At 38.0% G+C, this 15,945-nt stretch overlaps 1 protein-coding gene across 12 annotated transcripts in view, besides 1 other annotated feature; it reads right to left on the reverse strand.

The window, feature by feature from the left end:
- SAMD12 (sterile alpha motif domain containing 12) overlaps positions 1-15,945 on the reverse strand; it is a 490,139-nt gene that overhangs the window by 293,135 nt on the left and 181,059 nt on the right. For 10 of the 12 annotated variants that reach the window (NR_146234.2, NR_109794.3, XR_007060733.1 and 7 more), the window contains one exon: positions 14,873-15,002. Coding sequence is in view for 8 of the 12 variants with exons in the window: in NM_001101676.2 (NP_001095146.1) it covers positions 14,873-15,002 (130 nt within the window). In the remaining 4 variants the exon portion in view is untranslated. The remainder of the gene's footprint in view (positions 1-14,872; positions 15,003-15,945) is intronic. The other 2 variants (NM_001349811.2, XM_047421778.1) reach the window with 1 other exon arrangement.
- Positions 14,306-15,505: an enhancer, noted in NCBI's record as "P300/CBP strongly-dependent group 1 enhancer chr8:119451504-119452703 (GRCh37/hg19 assembly coordinates)". NCBI's record gives its function as "activates an origin of replication core promoter dependent on BRD2, BRD4, P300/CBP, MED14 and CDK7 cofactors, with strong dependence on P300/CBP, by STARR-seq in HCT116 cells {active_cell/tissue: HCT116}" and the evidence as "EXISTENCE:reporter gene assay evidence [ECO:0000049][PMID:35650434]".

A 15,945-nucleotide genomic window follows, 5' to 3' on the forward strand; every position in this document is an offset into this window, starting at 1 on the left:
ACAGAGTCTTGCTCTGTCGCCCAGGCTGGAGGGCAGTGGTGGGATCTCGGCTCATTGCAAGCTCTGCCTCCTGGGTTCACGCTATTCTCCTGCCTCAGCCTCCTGAGTAGCTGGGACTACAGGCGCCCGCCACCACGCCCAGCTAATTTTTTGTGTGTTCAGTACAGACAGGGTTTCACCGTGTTAGCCAGGATGGTCTCAATTTCCTGACCTTGTGATCTGCCCGCCTTGGCCTCCCAAAGTGCTGGGATTACAGGCGTGAGCCACCGTGCCCAGCTGTGGTATATTAATTTTTAAACAGAAAATGGGAGCAAAACCAAGGGGAAAGGGCATCTCCAATTTTGCAATCTGACTCCAGTGCTTTCCAAAAACATGCAAAACCAAAAAATAAACTGACAGAGTAATTAACAAGTCATCAATAAAAAAGAAATCAGAGTTGGGCATGATGGTGCACACCTATATCCCTGGCTACTCAGGAGGCTAAGGCAAGAGGACTGCTTGAGCCCAGGAGTTCAAGATCAGCTTGGGCAGCCTAGCAGCACAGTGAGACTCCTACCCTGTCTAAGAAAGAAAGAAATCAAATGGAAACAGGAGTTTTTTAAAACAGGGACAACAGAATGGATCATACTTAATTGACTTAGTTTCTCCGATAGAGTATAAAGCTCAGCATTCACAATGTAAGCAGATGCAGATGTCTGATCATATTTGATTTAGTATCATGTGTCATTATCACAGGAGACTAGAGAACAGAATAAAGACAGGGGAAAAAATAACTGGATCTGGTCAAAGGTGAGGCAGTAGGAGATCAAGTCCTTTGCTATAAAGGCTTCATTCTGCTCCTCGAATTTGGTTGGAAAAACACACTCATGAAAAGAGTGTCTTGTCCATTTCAGAACCCCACTCTGGTTATTTCTAAATGAGGTAACCTAATGGACTTTTCATAAGAATGGGTCTCCTGTTCTCCCACAGCCATGTCACTGAGCTTTGAACATTTTCCGGTGCCCCTGTACAAATCAGTTTAGTCTCTGGGTTTCTGTTTATTCATGTGAAAAAAAGGAGACAGAAGGAGGTCCCTTGCAGTCTGACATCACGATGCCATGCTTTTCTATAAAATATTTCACAGCAATGGGATACAGTCTATCTCTCTTGGCACAGTGTTTGGCTCATAGTGGTGTCATTAAATGATTATCAATTCACTAATTATTGACTAGTAATGATAATAGGTAATATTTCTTGATGTCCTTTGATGTGCTAGGCACTGTTCTAAATATTGTCCGGGTTTTAACTCCTTAATCCTCCCAACAAGCCTGTGTGGTGGGTCCTGTTGATGGTAAGTGCTCAGCTCCTCTAATTACCTTGAGTCACCCATTGAACTCCGAGCCTCACTTCTTCACCTGTAACAGCTTGCAAGATTGTTGAAAGCCACTAACTCTTTCACACTGAGGAGTTCTAGGCACAGTTCTAGGTACTGGACAGGCATCACATGTACTGGACAGAACTACAGTCCATGTGGTTCTCAGCAGAGCATCCTGCACATAGAAAGCCTCCAAGAAACCATGGGCATTATTAAGGATGTCAGGGATTTTCTAAAGCAAGGCTGCTCCCATAGTAAGAATATTCCTTCTAGTTATGATTTATGAAACAAATAGTTCATCTGGTGACAATTTCCACTCTTTTCCTGTCAAATACTATCACTAAATAAATTTTGAATTTAGAGTATCGATGAATGTGTCCTTGGAGCAGTAGTTTACTTACAGTAGCCTACAAATTGGTGCTGTTCTGTGATGAAAATGGGAGAAATAAAAATAATGTATGTTTTTCTTCAAGCAAAAATCTATTTTGAAATCGTGAGTATTTTGTGTTAAAATTCCTTTGGTTTATAAAATGGTGGTGAGAGTACTTTTTAATTAAAAAATATTAATGAGCAAAATACAAAAGGTGGCAACTCTATGTCATTTGCAAAAATGCTTTCTGCAATTTAACTTGTCTATGAAATCCAAAAGTCTTGGATGCACTGATGAAGACTCAGACGAGCAGAATCTCAAGGAGAAGAGAAGAGAGTATTGTTCCTTTGTCAGCAGTCATCTCCTAACAACAGGCAACACCGTGCCTTTCTTTATAAGAATGCTTTGGTATCTTCAGATTATTCTTTCAGTGAAAAACAAAATGCAAATATGGATTTTCAAACTCAATTTCTCTATAAGTATCTATATCATGGATAAATATAAAACCAAATCCATCCATCCATCTATCCATCTTTAATCTAAATGATCCTATGGCCAGAATGGAAAAAATGCAGGATAACACGTTCATCTTTTCATTTTAAGAATGGTATGTAGTTTAAAAAATGGAAAAGTACACAAGTTTTTATAAACAAACTTTACTGAGACATAACTTACATACAATAAATCCCACATATTTGAAATATCAAGTAGATGATGTTTGACAAAGATACAAAACATTTTGACCTCCTTCATTCCCCTTTACAGTCAATTCCCTTTTACCCCCTACTCCAGGCAACCACTGATCTGACTGCTATCCCTACAGGTTAATCTTGCAAGTTCTAGAATTTCATATGATTGGAATCACATAATATGTGCCCTTTTGGGTTTAACGTGTTTCACCGAGCACAATGTGAGATTCACTCACATTGTGTGCACAGTAGTAGGTTCCTTTTTATAGTTGAGTAGAGGTTTTGGTGTGAACATACAATTTATTCTCGTCTTGACTGATATAAGGGTTGTTTAGAATTTTTGGTTATTCTAATCTCTTTTGAAATTATTGGACTAGAATTTTTAAGAACATACGTTTCCATTTCTCCTGGGTAGATACCTTGGAGTGGAACTGCAGAATCATCTCATAAGTTTGTGATTAACTTCATAAGAAACTTGACATTTTCAAATCAGGTGACTCCATATTAAACTCACATACAACATACATACAAGAGATTCATGTGTGCCACGTCCGCAGCAACACTGGGTATGGCTTGGTATGGGAATTTAAGCCATTCTACTGGGTGTAAAGTATTATTTCATTGTGATTTTTATTTGGATTTTCTTGATGACTTAATATTTCTGAGCATACTCTCATGTGCCTTTTGGCCATTCTTGTATTTTCTTTGTGACGTATCATTTCAAATCTTTTGCCCATATTATTGGGTTGTCTTCTTGAGTTTTAAATGTTCTTTATGTATTTTGTATACAAGTTCTTTTTTAGATATATAATAAAAGTGCTTTCTTCTTGTCTCTGGCTTGGCTTTTTCATTTCCTTGATGGATTCTTAGAAAAGCAGACGACTTTTAATTTTGATAAAGACCAATTTAGAAGCCAAGTGTGATTGTGTGCATCTGTAATCCCAGCTACATGTGAGGTTGGGGCCATGGGATCTTTTGTGCCAAGAGCTCAAGTCCAGCGTGGGCAACAGAGCAAGACGCTGTCTCAAAAACAATAACAAAGAAAGAAAAGAAAAGAAAAAAGAAAAGAAATAAAAAGACCAATTTATCAATTTTTTTTCTTTTAAACTAAGGTGCTTCCAGGGACATATATAATAATTCCTTGCCTATTCTCAAGGTCGTGAAATTTTCTCTTATGCTTCCTTCTATAAAGTTTTAAATTTAGGTCCATTATTTATTTCAAATTAAATGTTGTGTATAGTGTGATGCAGGAGTTGAAGTTCACTTATCTTACTAAATGAAGTTCATTTAGTTATTCCAGTACCCTGTAGTGAAGAGACTACCCTTTCTCTCGTTGGATTGCTTTGGTACAATTTTTGAAAAACATTTGGCCATATATGTGTGAGTATATTTATGGAATTTCTATTTTGTTCTACTATTATAATCTACAAGTTAGTCTTTATTCCAGTACCATATTACCTTGGTTATTGTAATTTTATAGTAAGTCTTAAAATTAGGTGGGCAAGTCCTCAAAAGTTTGTTCTTTTTCTATATGAGTTTCACTACTCTAACGTCTTTGCACTTCTATACAAATTTCAGAATCAATGTGTTCATTTTATTTTAAAAAATCTGGTGTTATATTGATTGTGATTGCAGTGAATCTATAGGTCATTAGAATAATGGACATAATTTTAACATTGAGTCTTCTAATCCACAAGTGTGGGATATCTCACCATTTATTTAGATATTTAATTTCTCTTAGCAATGTTTTACAGTTTTCTGTGTAGTCTTAGATATATTTTGTTTAGCTATTACATAGTAATCTTGTATTTTGCGCACTAAGTTATATTATTAGTTCTTGTAGGATTTTTTTCTTCATATAGGTTAAGCATCCCTAATCTGAAAATTCAAGATCTGAAATGCTCCAAAATCCAAAACTTTTTGAACACCAGCATGAAGGTCAAAGGAAATGCTCACTGCAGTACTTCAGATTTTAAATTTTTGGATTTGAGAAGCTCAACTGGTATGTATTCTGCAAATATTCCAAAATCCAAAAAAATACAAAACTGAAAACACTTCTGGTTCCATGTATTCTAGACAACACTCCAACTCTAGATCTCATAGTTTTTTATATAAACCATTTGATCTATACATAAAAATAATTTCACTTCTTCCTTTCTAATCTTTTTGTCTTTATTTCTTTTTCTTGCTTTATTTCACTGGCCAGGGTCTTCAGAACAATATTTAATAGAAGGTAAGTAGCCGGGTGTGGTGGCTCATGCCTGTAATCCCAGCACTTTGGGAAGCTGAGGTGGGTGGATCACTTGAGGTCAGTAGTTTGAGACCAATCTGGCCAACATTGTGAAATCCTGTCTCTACTAAAAATACAAAAATTAACTGGGCATGGTGGCAGATGCCTATAATCCCAGCTACTCGGGAGGCTGAGGAAGGAGAATCGCTTGAACCTGGGAGGCGGAGGTTGCAGTGAGCCAAGATCGTGTCACTGCACACCAGCCTGGCTGACAGAGTGAGATTCTGTCACACACATACAAAAATAGATTAAAAAAAAATAAGGTAAGAAAGCTAATGGTCTTGTCTTATTCTGTATAGAAAAAAGTTTTTTAACCATTTAGGATGATGTTACCTGTACGTTCACCATAAATGCTGTTTATCAAGATTTCTGTTATTTCTACTTTTCTGGTAAGTTTTTTAAAAATTATGGATCAACACTGAATTTTGTCAAATGCTTTCTCTGCATCTATTGAGAAGAATGTATATTGGACATACATTCTATAAAATGTTCTATAGATATCAGTTAGGTCACATTGATTGACAATGCTGTTCAGATCATCAGAGAGTGATGTTGAAGTTTTACAACTGTAATGGTAAATTTATCAATTTCTACCTGAATATTATCAGTGTTCACCTTATATATTTTGACACTCTATGTTAAGAGTGCAAATGTTTAGAATTGTTACGTCTTCTTGGAGAATGTAACCCTGTATCATTCTGTAATTGCCTTTTTTTTTTTTGATGGAGTCTCGCTCTGTTGCCAGGCTGGAGGGCAGTGGCATGATCTCGGCTCACTGCAACCTCCGCCTCCCAGGTTCAAGCGATTCTCCTGCTTCAGCCTCCCGAGTAGCTGGGACTACAGGTGTATGCCATCATGCCCAGCTAATTTTTGTATTTTTAGTAGAGACAGGTTTCACTATATTGGCCAGGATGGTCTCAATCTCTTGACCTTGTGATCCATCCGCCTTGGTCTCCTAAAGTGCTGGGATTACAGGCATGAGCCACCACGCTCAGACTAATTGCCGTCTTTATTCTTTTCACTCTTGTTCTGAAGTCTGCATTGTCTCAACTCAATATAACTACTATAAGAGTCTTGACTGTGTTAGTGTAATACATCTTTCTCCAATACTTTACTTTTAACCTGAGTACTTAAAGTGTGTTTCTTCTAGAGAGCATATAGTTAGGCTTTTTTTGCCCCTAATCTGACAATCTCTGTCTTTTAACTAGTGTGTTAAGACTATTCACATTTAAGGTAATTATTGATAGACTTAAAATTTACCATCTTTATACTTTTCTATTCATTGCTCTTGTTTCTCTCTTTTTTCTTTGACCTTTTCTGATTTTAACTGAGTATTTGAGGCCATTTCATTTTATCTTCTCAACACATTATTTATCTTTCCTTTATAAAAAAATTTTTAGTGTTTGCCTTACAGTTAACAATATACGTTTTTAAGTAATCTAAGTCCACCTTCAAATAACACTATTCTTCACATGTATTGCAGGTACCTTATAACAAAGCATTCTATTCCTCCCTTCCATCCCTTGTGGCATTGCTGTTATTCATTTTACTTATCTATATGGTATAAAACCCAGTGTATTATTGTTATTATTGCTTTAACCAGTTAGCCTTTAGATCAATTAATAAGAAAAAAGGAATTTATTTTACCTTCATTTATTCATTTTCTGACATTCTTCCTTTCTTTCTGTTGATTCAAGTTTCTGATCTATATCATTTTTCTTCTGCCTGAAGAACTTTTATCACTACTTGCAGGGCAGTTTGCTGACACTGAATTGCTTCAGTTTTTGTTTGTTTGGGCAAGCCTTTCCTTACTTTTCTTTTATGTTTGAAGAATAATTTTATTGGATATAGAATTGGTCATTTTTTTTTTGTTTCAACCCTTTAAAGTTTTCACTCATTTTCTTCTTGCTTAAGAGGTTCTCATTAGAAGTGTCCTGGAATTCTTATCTTTTCTCTGGAACTAAGGTACATGATGTTTGTTGTTTGTTTTTAAAATCTGACTCCTTTCAAAATTTTACCTTTGTCGTGTGTGTGTGTGTGTGTGTGTGTGTGTGTGTGTGTGTGTGTTTGAGAAAAGTAGTTCAAATATTTATCCTGTTGGTGTTATCTGAACTTCTTGGATATGTGGTTCAATGTTTGTGATTAGTTTTGGAAATCTGTTGTCATTACTATTTGAACTATTCTTCTGTCTTCTTCTTCTGATATTCTAGTAATGCATATGTTACATCTTTTAATATAGTCCCACAATTCTTGGATGTTCTGCTCTGTTGTTTTCATTCATTTTACTCTTTGTATTTTGGTTTGGGTGGTTTCTATTGATTTACCTCCAAGTTCACTGATTCTTTCCATGGCTGTGTTGAGTCTACTGATGATCCCCTTGAAGGCACTCTTACTCGCTATCACAGTGTTTTTTATTTCTAGTATTTTCTTTTGATTGTTTATTAGTTCCACTTCTCTGTTACATTAGTCATCTGTTCTGGCATATAGTTTACATTTTGCATTAGTACCTTTAACATATTGATCATACTTATTTTAAATTTCCTATTTGATAAACCTAACATCTGTGTCATATCTGAATCTGGTTCTGATGATTACTTTGTCTCTTCAGTTTGTTATTTTCTTACCTCTTGCATGCTTTGTAATTTTTTGTGTGTGTCTGAAACCTGGACATGTTGTATTCAGTAATAGGAACTTGGGAGGAGGCATTTGGGGATATCCAATAAATAGTCCACTAGAACAAAGGAAGGGACTGGAAGATAGCATTATACTTCATTGATGCCAGGAAGCAAGAATCTAATGGGGGCAGTCATCAAGAGCTTTCTTTGGCAAGAGTTTCTAACCTGGGAACCTAAACAGGACCTAGGGGTGTGTTTCAGTCAAACTTCAACATACACTTTCTTATTAAACTTTTCAACTACCAACTTACTGTGATAAGTCTTACAATAGAGCCTTATCCTAGGAACTAGAGATGAGATACTCAACCCAGATGAAGAGAACTAAGGAGGGCTTTCTATAGGAGGTGGTATCTAAAACTCAAGCCAGAAGGAAAACTGGAATTATTCAGGTGAATGGGTGGGTGTCAAGAAGGTAGAGAGTATGACATTTGACAACCCTTGAAAGTAGTTCAGTGGGCCTTCAGCTTAGAGGAGGAGGGAGTATAGGCAAAACCAAACACCATCACCACCACCCCTAGCACCACCACCACTGACAACAACCACCATTACCACCACTGCCACTGCCGCCATCACCACCACAATAATCCAACATCTTGAACAGAAAAACAGACTGTTTTTTAAAACTATAAAATGCTCATCCCTGGAGGTGTTGAAGCAAAGGCTGTCCAACTACACAGTAGGGATGTTAGAAAGGGTAACACAGGGGGACATGTACCTATATTGTAAGGGGGACACTCAGCCTCCATTCTTCCTATTCCCTTGTGGAGGGACTTCCCTGACTAACGCTCTTGGCCTCTCTCCTGTCCTCCATTTGCTACTCATTCAGCCCAGTCCCATGTTCTGTCCTCACTTGAGACCTGTGTGCTGACGTAGTCTGCTTTCTGCCAAGCCTTAAAAGAGGCAGTGCTCAGTTGTGCCAGTGACTGGGATGATCCATTTAGAGAGGAAACATTCTTAGTAAATAAATTTGTCTACAGATATAAATTACATTCTCCAAAGACTTTTATCAGGAATGGAGCTGGTATTTTGTGGTCCATTGACCTTCCACTTGTGTTTATTTCTCATTGAAAGGGTCTTTTTTTTTTTTCTTAAATTGATCCCATAAATCCTTGGAAGACATCTAAAGTCCTTTCCAACACTCAGAATTCTTTTCCCCTGAATCATCAAGAAAACGAAGTTCAGTACCCTTGTTTTAAGAACGCTGAGAAATAATTCATGTATATTAAAGTTAGTAAGTTTATAATTTAGAAAGCTAGTAAGTGTTCCATTAAAAGGGGTTAAAATGAAAAATCAATGGCTCTACTGGAAAATTAGGAGAAACAACTTATGTTCTAATCATATCAGAAACTTTACTATGTAAATATAAAATTATGCTCAAGTTTCAATAAGAGTATAGAGCAGTTCACACAAAAAAGAAATGTGAAAAAACAAATACAAAGAGATAGGAAAGTAGATCACAATATCCAGAGCAGAAGTGATAAAGATGAGAAAATGTGTAGCTGACACACTGGATAGTTAAATACGTTTACATTTTGTTTGGTTATACTGGATTCTACTAAGTAGTATTCTCGTAAGTACATCACATAAAGTAATTATTCTACTCCTTTTGACACTTGTTAGCTACACACCCCATTGGTTTCTACAGGGAACTCTAACCATAATAAAAGAATTGGAAGACAATCACAGAAGGATAGAGGAGTAGAACAGCCCAGAAAAATCAGCCCTGAAGAGAACAACGTTAGCAAATGCATGGAGCCACATTCCAAAGGTCCTAAAAAGATAGTGATTTTCCCTTTACTCAACAGCATATTCAGAACTGCCCAATTTCAAGGTGCTACATCTCAGCAGAATATTTTTAAAAAGGAAAAGAAGTACAAGTGGGTGACAGTTGCAGCATAAAAAAACAGAACAGAGGCATACATCTATTGTGTAGGTGATCATTTAGAAATATAATAAGTCAATAGGAATCATTTGTAAGCGATACTCATATGACAACTATTTGTTCTTGTAGACATCTAAAGGATACCCATGGTTCGTCCATGAAGTAGACCAAGGAAACCCTTTATACATTCAAAGCAGCTTTTAAAAAATATTTTATATTCTGGGGAGCTCTGAGTGCTTCACCTCTGAAAACAAGCCTTTAAAGTTGGCAGGGGAAGGAACCCTTCACAGATAGAGGATTTGAAGCCAAACGAGGTGAAGTGATGTTAGCAACCACCACAGGAAGAAACTTCAAACCTGAAGAGATACTTGACTGTGCATAACAGAATCTGAAAGTTGCCTGTGAGCTTACACCTGGCCCCAGAAGAGCCTCCTCATCAGCATTCCAGGCCAGGCCTCAGAAAGCTAGGGACAGAATCTTGCAAGCACAGAAACATACGCAAATTTCTTTCCTTTAAACCTAACCTCATGATTTCAGTCTATATATCCTAATGCCTTTCCAGTGTTCTAACCGTCTTATTCTTTTTAAAGTGTGCTTCTGGCCGGGCGCGGTGGCTCACGCCTGTAATCCCAGCACTTTGGGAGGCCGAGGCGGGCGGATCACGAGGTCAGGAGATCGAGACCATCCCGGCTAAAAAAACGGTGAAACCCCGTCTCTACTAAAAATACAAAAAATTAGCCGGGCGTAGTGGCGGGCGCCTGTAGTCCCAGCTACTTGGGAGGCTGAGGCAGGAGAATGGCGTGAACCCGGGAGGCGGAGCTTGCAGTGAGCCGAGATCCCGCCACTGCACTCCAGCCTGGGCGACAGAGTGAGACTCCATCTCAAAAAAAAAAAAAAAAAGTGTGCTTCTGCAGGGAGTTAATGCTATTAGCACAGCAGCAGCCCCCTTAGCTACGGTTTCACTTTGTGCAGTTTCAGTTACCTGTGGTCAATTGTGGTCTGAAAAGTAGATGAGTACAGTACAATATGATATTTCAAGAGACAGAGATATTTACCTAATTATTATTATGGTATATTATTATTAATCGTTCTATTTTATCATTAGTTCTTGTTAATCTCTTACTGAACCTAATTAAAAAAATTAAACTTTATCATAGGTATGTATGTATACACTATATAAATAGTGTTTAGTAATATCTATGGTTTCAGGCATCCACTGGGGGTCCTGCTATGTTTCCCTTGCAGATGAGGGGGGATTACTACAGCTTCTCTTCTGATTAAACACATCTGCCACCAAAGAGCAGGTATCTTCTGGGCACAATAAAATTATCAAAAATTTTGATATTGCAAAAGATTTTGAACACTGATAAGTTAAAACATGTCTAAAGTTTTCTTAGACTTTGAAGCACCTAAGGGAAAATTTTGTTTAGAATTTAAAGTTCTTCAAATAAACACAGAAACAAATGTTCATATAGTAGAACTCTTTGTAAAAACAAATACAGACAATTTAAACACTACTGAGGTTAAAGCGTAATTTTCAGAAAAGGTTAAAATCATGACTGTCATACAAATATGGAAGTGAACGCATCTTTAAGATTTTAATTTAACTTATTAATGAGGAAACTGGCAAGATGTTACAACCAGCTCAAGGGAGAATCCGAACAGCGGACACAATTATAGATCAGGAAGACTGAAATAAATGTGTAAATGGGAGGTAAAACTCACCTTATCCACAGTGGTTAGGCAAGTCAACTGAACCTCTGTGGAACAGAAGTTACATGTCAATGGAGAAAAATTATATTGTATTACCCTCTGTTATCTACAACTCACAGAGTTATAAAATTGCTCCCTAGAATCAAAGAATTAGATAACCCAAAATGTTGTGCTATAGATGACCATGCATAGTTTTCCATGCAAGCACAATTTTTTCCTACATGGATCACTGACTATCTTACTTACCACTGTATTCTGAAAACCTGGTACATGGTAGATGGTCCATAAATACTTCCTAAATGGATGAATGAATGCCCATTATATGTCAGTCATTAAGCTAGGCCCTTCACATTCATCATCCCATTTAATCTTCCCCCAAATTCTTTAAGATAAATATTATTTTACTGACAAGAAACTAACGTGTGGCATTATGTTTTTATTACATGTCAAAGGTTGGTGTAGAGGGCAGCAGGGAGGATTTGACTCAGACCTATGATCAGAAAACCTATCTCTGTTTTCTTCTTCTTTTTCTCTCCATTTAATATATGTCTTTTTTATTTACCGTCACTGGACCATGTGCCTCTAAATCAAGGGATGTTTGTATATAACACTGATATAACATGCTTCCTCAATGAGCATGATAGAGGAGATCCTTGCTTTAAGAAAAATAAAAGAACAGCAGCACTCAGGAGAATCTAAGCATAAATAAGAGATACATGAACAATCTTTTCTGCAGCCTTAAAGATTAGCACAGGATATTTACCAGCCCAGAATGTTTTGTTTCCCTTAGATGCTTCTTTCCCTCCTTTCCCAGGATAATAAAGCTGGATGAATTCAACATTATGTGTATTGTTTTGTTATCAAAGATACCATCAGGGCAACACTTGGAAAAGAGCAGCAGCTCACATGCGCTGTATGCTCACTGTGACTGTGTACCACCTTCATAGCAACACTATGAGGTAGATACTATTAGCATCTCCTTTTCTGCAGGTGACAAGCTGCCATGCACCCAGCAACCTTTACAAAATCACAAGGTTGCGATGCAGCTCTGGGCTGTGACCTGGTACTTGTAACCACTCCCCTGTCCTCTCTTAAGTCATTCTACTGTCTGCACACCCTGGTGAGGTTTGCTCTGTCATCACATCTTGAGTTTTACAAACCTCTTTGCCCTGTTCATCACAGCCTCCAAGAGTATTGGGATTCCCACAGCTTCTAGCATCATAGGGCTGGTAAATGCACACTGGCTGAAGTCCCGAAAGCTATTTTCTGGCCACTTGGCACTTGTGATCATTTGGGTATTTTGCATTCACTCTTAGAGAAGCAGGGGCCAGAGAACAGGGGAAGAGAGTTGTCTTCTGAGGCTTCAAATAGGTGAATGTCAAAAAGATGTAGACCAAAAGTTAATCTGAAATCATTCTCTCTGTTCCCTAAGTCCCCAAGTAATTCCCTGCTTTCTTCTTCTTGCCAGAAAATAGGCTGCCCTTAAAAGGAAATAACAGCATGTTTTTCGACACTTCCAGGTGAGTCCTGACATGACTAATAGCACAATGCCAACATGTAAAAGGAGTCAAGAAATGGTTAGCTTAGTGGTTTACCTATATTATTTCATTTAATTTTCACGACATCTCTCTGAGCCAGGTACTATTTTCTTTATTTTGGAGATGAGGTAGTGAGGTTAAGTAACTTGCCCAGGTTAATAAGCAGCTTGCCCAAGATCCCAAGAAAGTAGTGATTTCCCAATACCTGGTATGTTTCATGAAGACCAAGTCTGCCACCAAAAGCATACGACAACTTTTTTAAATGCATACCTCATTCCCACACTCCTGTCCTCATGTCACTTAGCAGAAAACCTTGGGAAGTGGGACCATTTATTCCATAAGCATTGATGCATGAATCTTTATTTCTGAGGACTGTAAGGCTCATCCTCTTCAAACCATTATAAATGCTTATCCTTCCCTCAAGGGGACCTCATAATTCTCACCCCTAATAAAAGATAACACTGCTTTCAAATAAGATCATGAAAAAGGCTTTGCCATTACTATCGCACAGGCATTAAAAAACATTAAGCAGCCATTATCTGATGAAGGCTACCATAATCAGGCAAATGGTTACTAACTGATTGATTACAGTTAGGAGTAGAATAACTGACCCTAGATGGGCTTTTCTTAAACTCTTAAGGGAGGAACTAAGAAAATGAATGTAGACACTTGGAATCGAAGCTAAGTACCCACACTGCCTTCCGAATTTCTGAGATTTCATCCAAAAGGGCCATTGACTCTAGTTGGGAGTGACAGAGAGGAAATGCATAAAGGACCATTTTTATATTTAAGATAGAAGGATTTTACTCTCTTGTTTGTTAACTCAACTTGAGCTACAATTGGGTGTTTTCCCTATATATTTAGACATATCAATGTGGTCAGCAGGAATCTAGGATCATCTAGCTCAGCATTTTTTTTAAAACATTTAGTGCTTAAATGTTTAAAAAAAATTTTTTTTAATCAATCAAGTTTTCAAAATCAATCAAGTTTTCTGTATGGTTCAAATATACACAACAGACATGAAGGGAGTGGTTTTGGTTCACGCACCCGCCTCTACCCAAAGCACACCCACATCCCTTTGGCAGTCAAGGGCTCCATGAAACACACATAGAAAACCATCGACTGAGACCTATTCTAAGAAGGTGAACTGACCTGCCCCAGATCTCACAGCTACAGCCTAAGAGCTGAACTGCAAAAAGAAATACTTTCTGCTTAACAAGTCCCTTTTTAAAGTAATAGGAGTGAACAGAACAAGAGAGATTAGGATTTGTCATGACAGAAAGTGTGGGTTTGGAAAGAGGTTTGTCATCGAGAATGCTGAGCTATTTCATGACAAGTCACTTTACCACCAGAGTGAAAGCATTTTCTCAGAAAAAAAAGATCTGGACTAGAAATGACTTCTTAACACTGTTTCCCCCTTGAAGCCACACAGTTTTGGTTTACAGAGTGTATCCTCAGTCCTATCTTTCACTGCACTGTTTGTGCAGGGAAAAGGGAAGTGTTGCCCACATACAAGCAGGATCTTAGGGTGAAAGGGCAGGCAAGGTCTGGAAAAGCCCCCTTACTCTGATGGGCTTCCACGGTGGGCATATTTGCTCCATCTTGCCCACTCCATCCCCCAATTGAGAGACTTGATCTGAAGCCCCTTTATGGTTCACTATCCTGGCCTATTTTCTGCTTTCAAGTACTTACTGACCTCCACGTATAATATTTGAATACCCTTGATCTAAATGGAATCGTTATCTGTGCCTTGAAACTATTCATCCCAAGGGCAGAGAGTTAGTATTATTATATTCCATTTCAGAAACTTGGAACATTGCTAGGTGCAGATACAAGAAGGTGGTCAACAGGGAAATGGATGGCCAGAGGACAGGAGTGTCAGGAAAACCGACTTTCCACCATGGACTCTTTCACATGATTGGATACATGTGTATAGCTCACCCAAAGAAGTCAATATACTTTATCTTAGACATTTTTTAAAAAGCATTTTCCTACTTAGAAACCTTTTCTACTTGGAAGATCTACATAGTGATCCTGTAGCCAAGTTCATGTGAAAGACTTCCTTCTTTCCTTTCTCTATGATTGGCATGCTCTTATTTTCTCTAGGATCCCCCAACCCTGCACCCTGATTCCCATATACTTTTACAATGGATGCTAAAATCCACAGTTTTCTATAATAACCATGTATGTTTGTTAAATAGCATGGCTCACATGGATCTGGAATTTATCACCCCTTTGGAAGTAAACCCATGCCAGAAAATTTCAGCAGGAAGATGTTGTTTCATGGTAAGGGTATGGGAAAGGCTATCGTGACTGGGAGAAAGAAAAGGAGTGAAATATCTGGGATACTGCATACTTTACCAGTTATGTCATGCTGTTTGAATGACTCACTGTAGATCTGATACTGATTCGGACAATGTTTCTTCAACCACTTGCAGACATCCTGCTGGGTCCATAGAGCCACCGGTTTAGATAGCTTCACCGTAGCTGACTATAAATAAAGAAGGAAGATCTGTCAATGCTGGCCCCATGCCTAGGAAGACACTATAGTTAAAAGTCTTAGAGTGTGTTAAAGGCTACAGACTGGATTCCCTGAAGATAAATATCTAGTTCTTGTCTTTCTCCTAACCTCTGTAGACCTTCTCAATACTGCTGAAAAGCACAAAGAAAGGTCCAGGTGGAGAAGCTGTGAAAATGATCTAACCATCTCTGCTAAGAAAAAATCCCAAGGAATCCCTAGGAAGTAGTGTTTTTTAATGAATACTCTAGCAAAAAACAATGGGGTTGCTAAGCAATTAATTACATTAAAGGGGAGACACAGCTGGCCCCAAGTGCCTTTCTCTGTATTCCAAGAAAGTATTTATCTCTCGCTGTCCCTGACATTTCTAGAGCCTAGCACAACACTGGCTCCAGGAAGTGCTAATAATATTTTTAGGAACGAATGTTACTGGATTTAGATAACTGTATACTAAGAACTGCAAGTCTGCCTGGGGGCTCTGGACTTAGGGTGGCCCTGAAATGTCCAGGACCATTAGTTATACCAAAGTGGGGAAGCAAAAAGTCAATTCCACCAGGATGTGGAGAATGGTAATAAGATAATGTGGGCAGTTAGGCTTTATACAGAAGCCAACTAGTCAAGGTCTTTTTTTTGTTCACTGGATCTTTCAGGGAAGTATTTATGAGGAAAACACACACACACACACACACACACACACACACACACACAAACACACACACACACACACATATAAAAACGCAGGGAGTGAGAAAAGCTTAGCCTTTGACAAATGATGGATTACAAATACATTTATTAGTGAATAAGCATCAATTTCATGCCCATGGGATGACCATGCTCTGATGGTCTCCCTCAGAGATCCCAGGAATTTGGTTTTAGACAGATTAATGCTTCACTATCTAGAATTTTTATCATGTTG

This window comes from Homo sapiens, chromosome 8 (genome assembly GCF_000001405.40).
Source record: "Homo sapiens chromosome 8, GRCh38.p14 Primary Assembly".
NCBI classification, from domain to species: domain Eukaryota; kingdom Metazoa; phylum Chordata; class Mammalia; order Primates; family Hominidae; genus Homo; species Homo sapiens.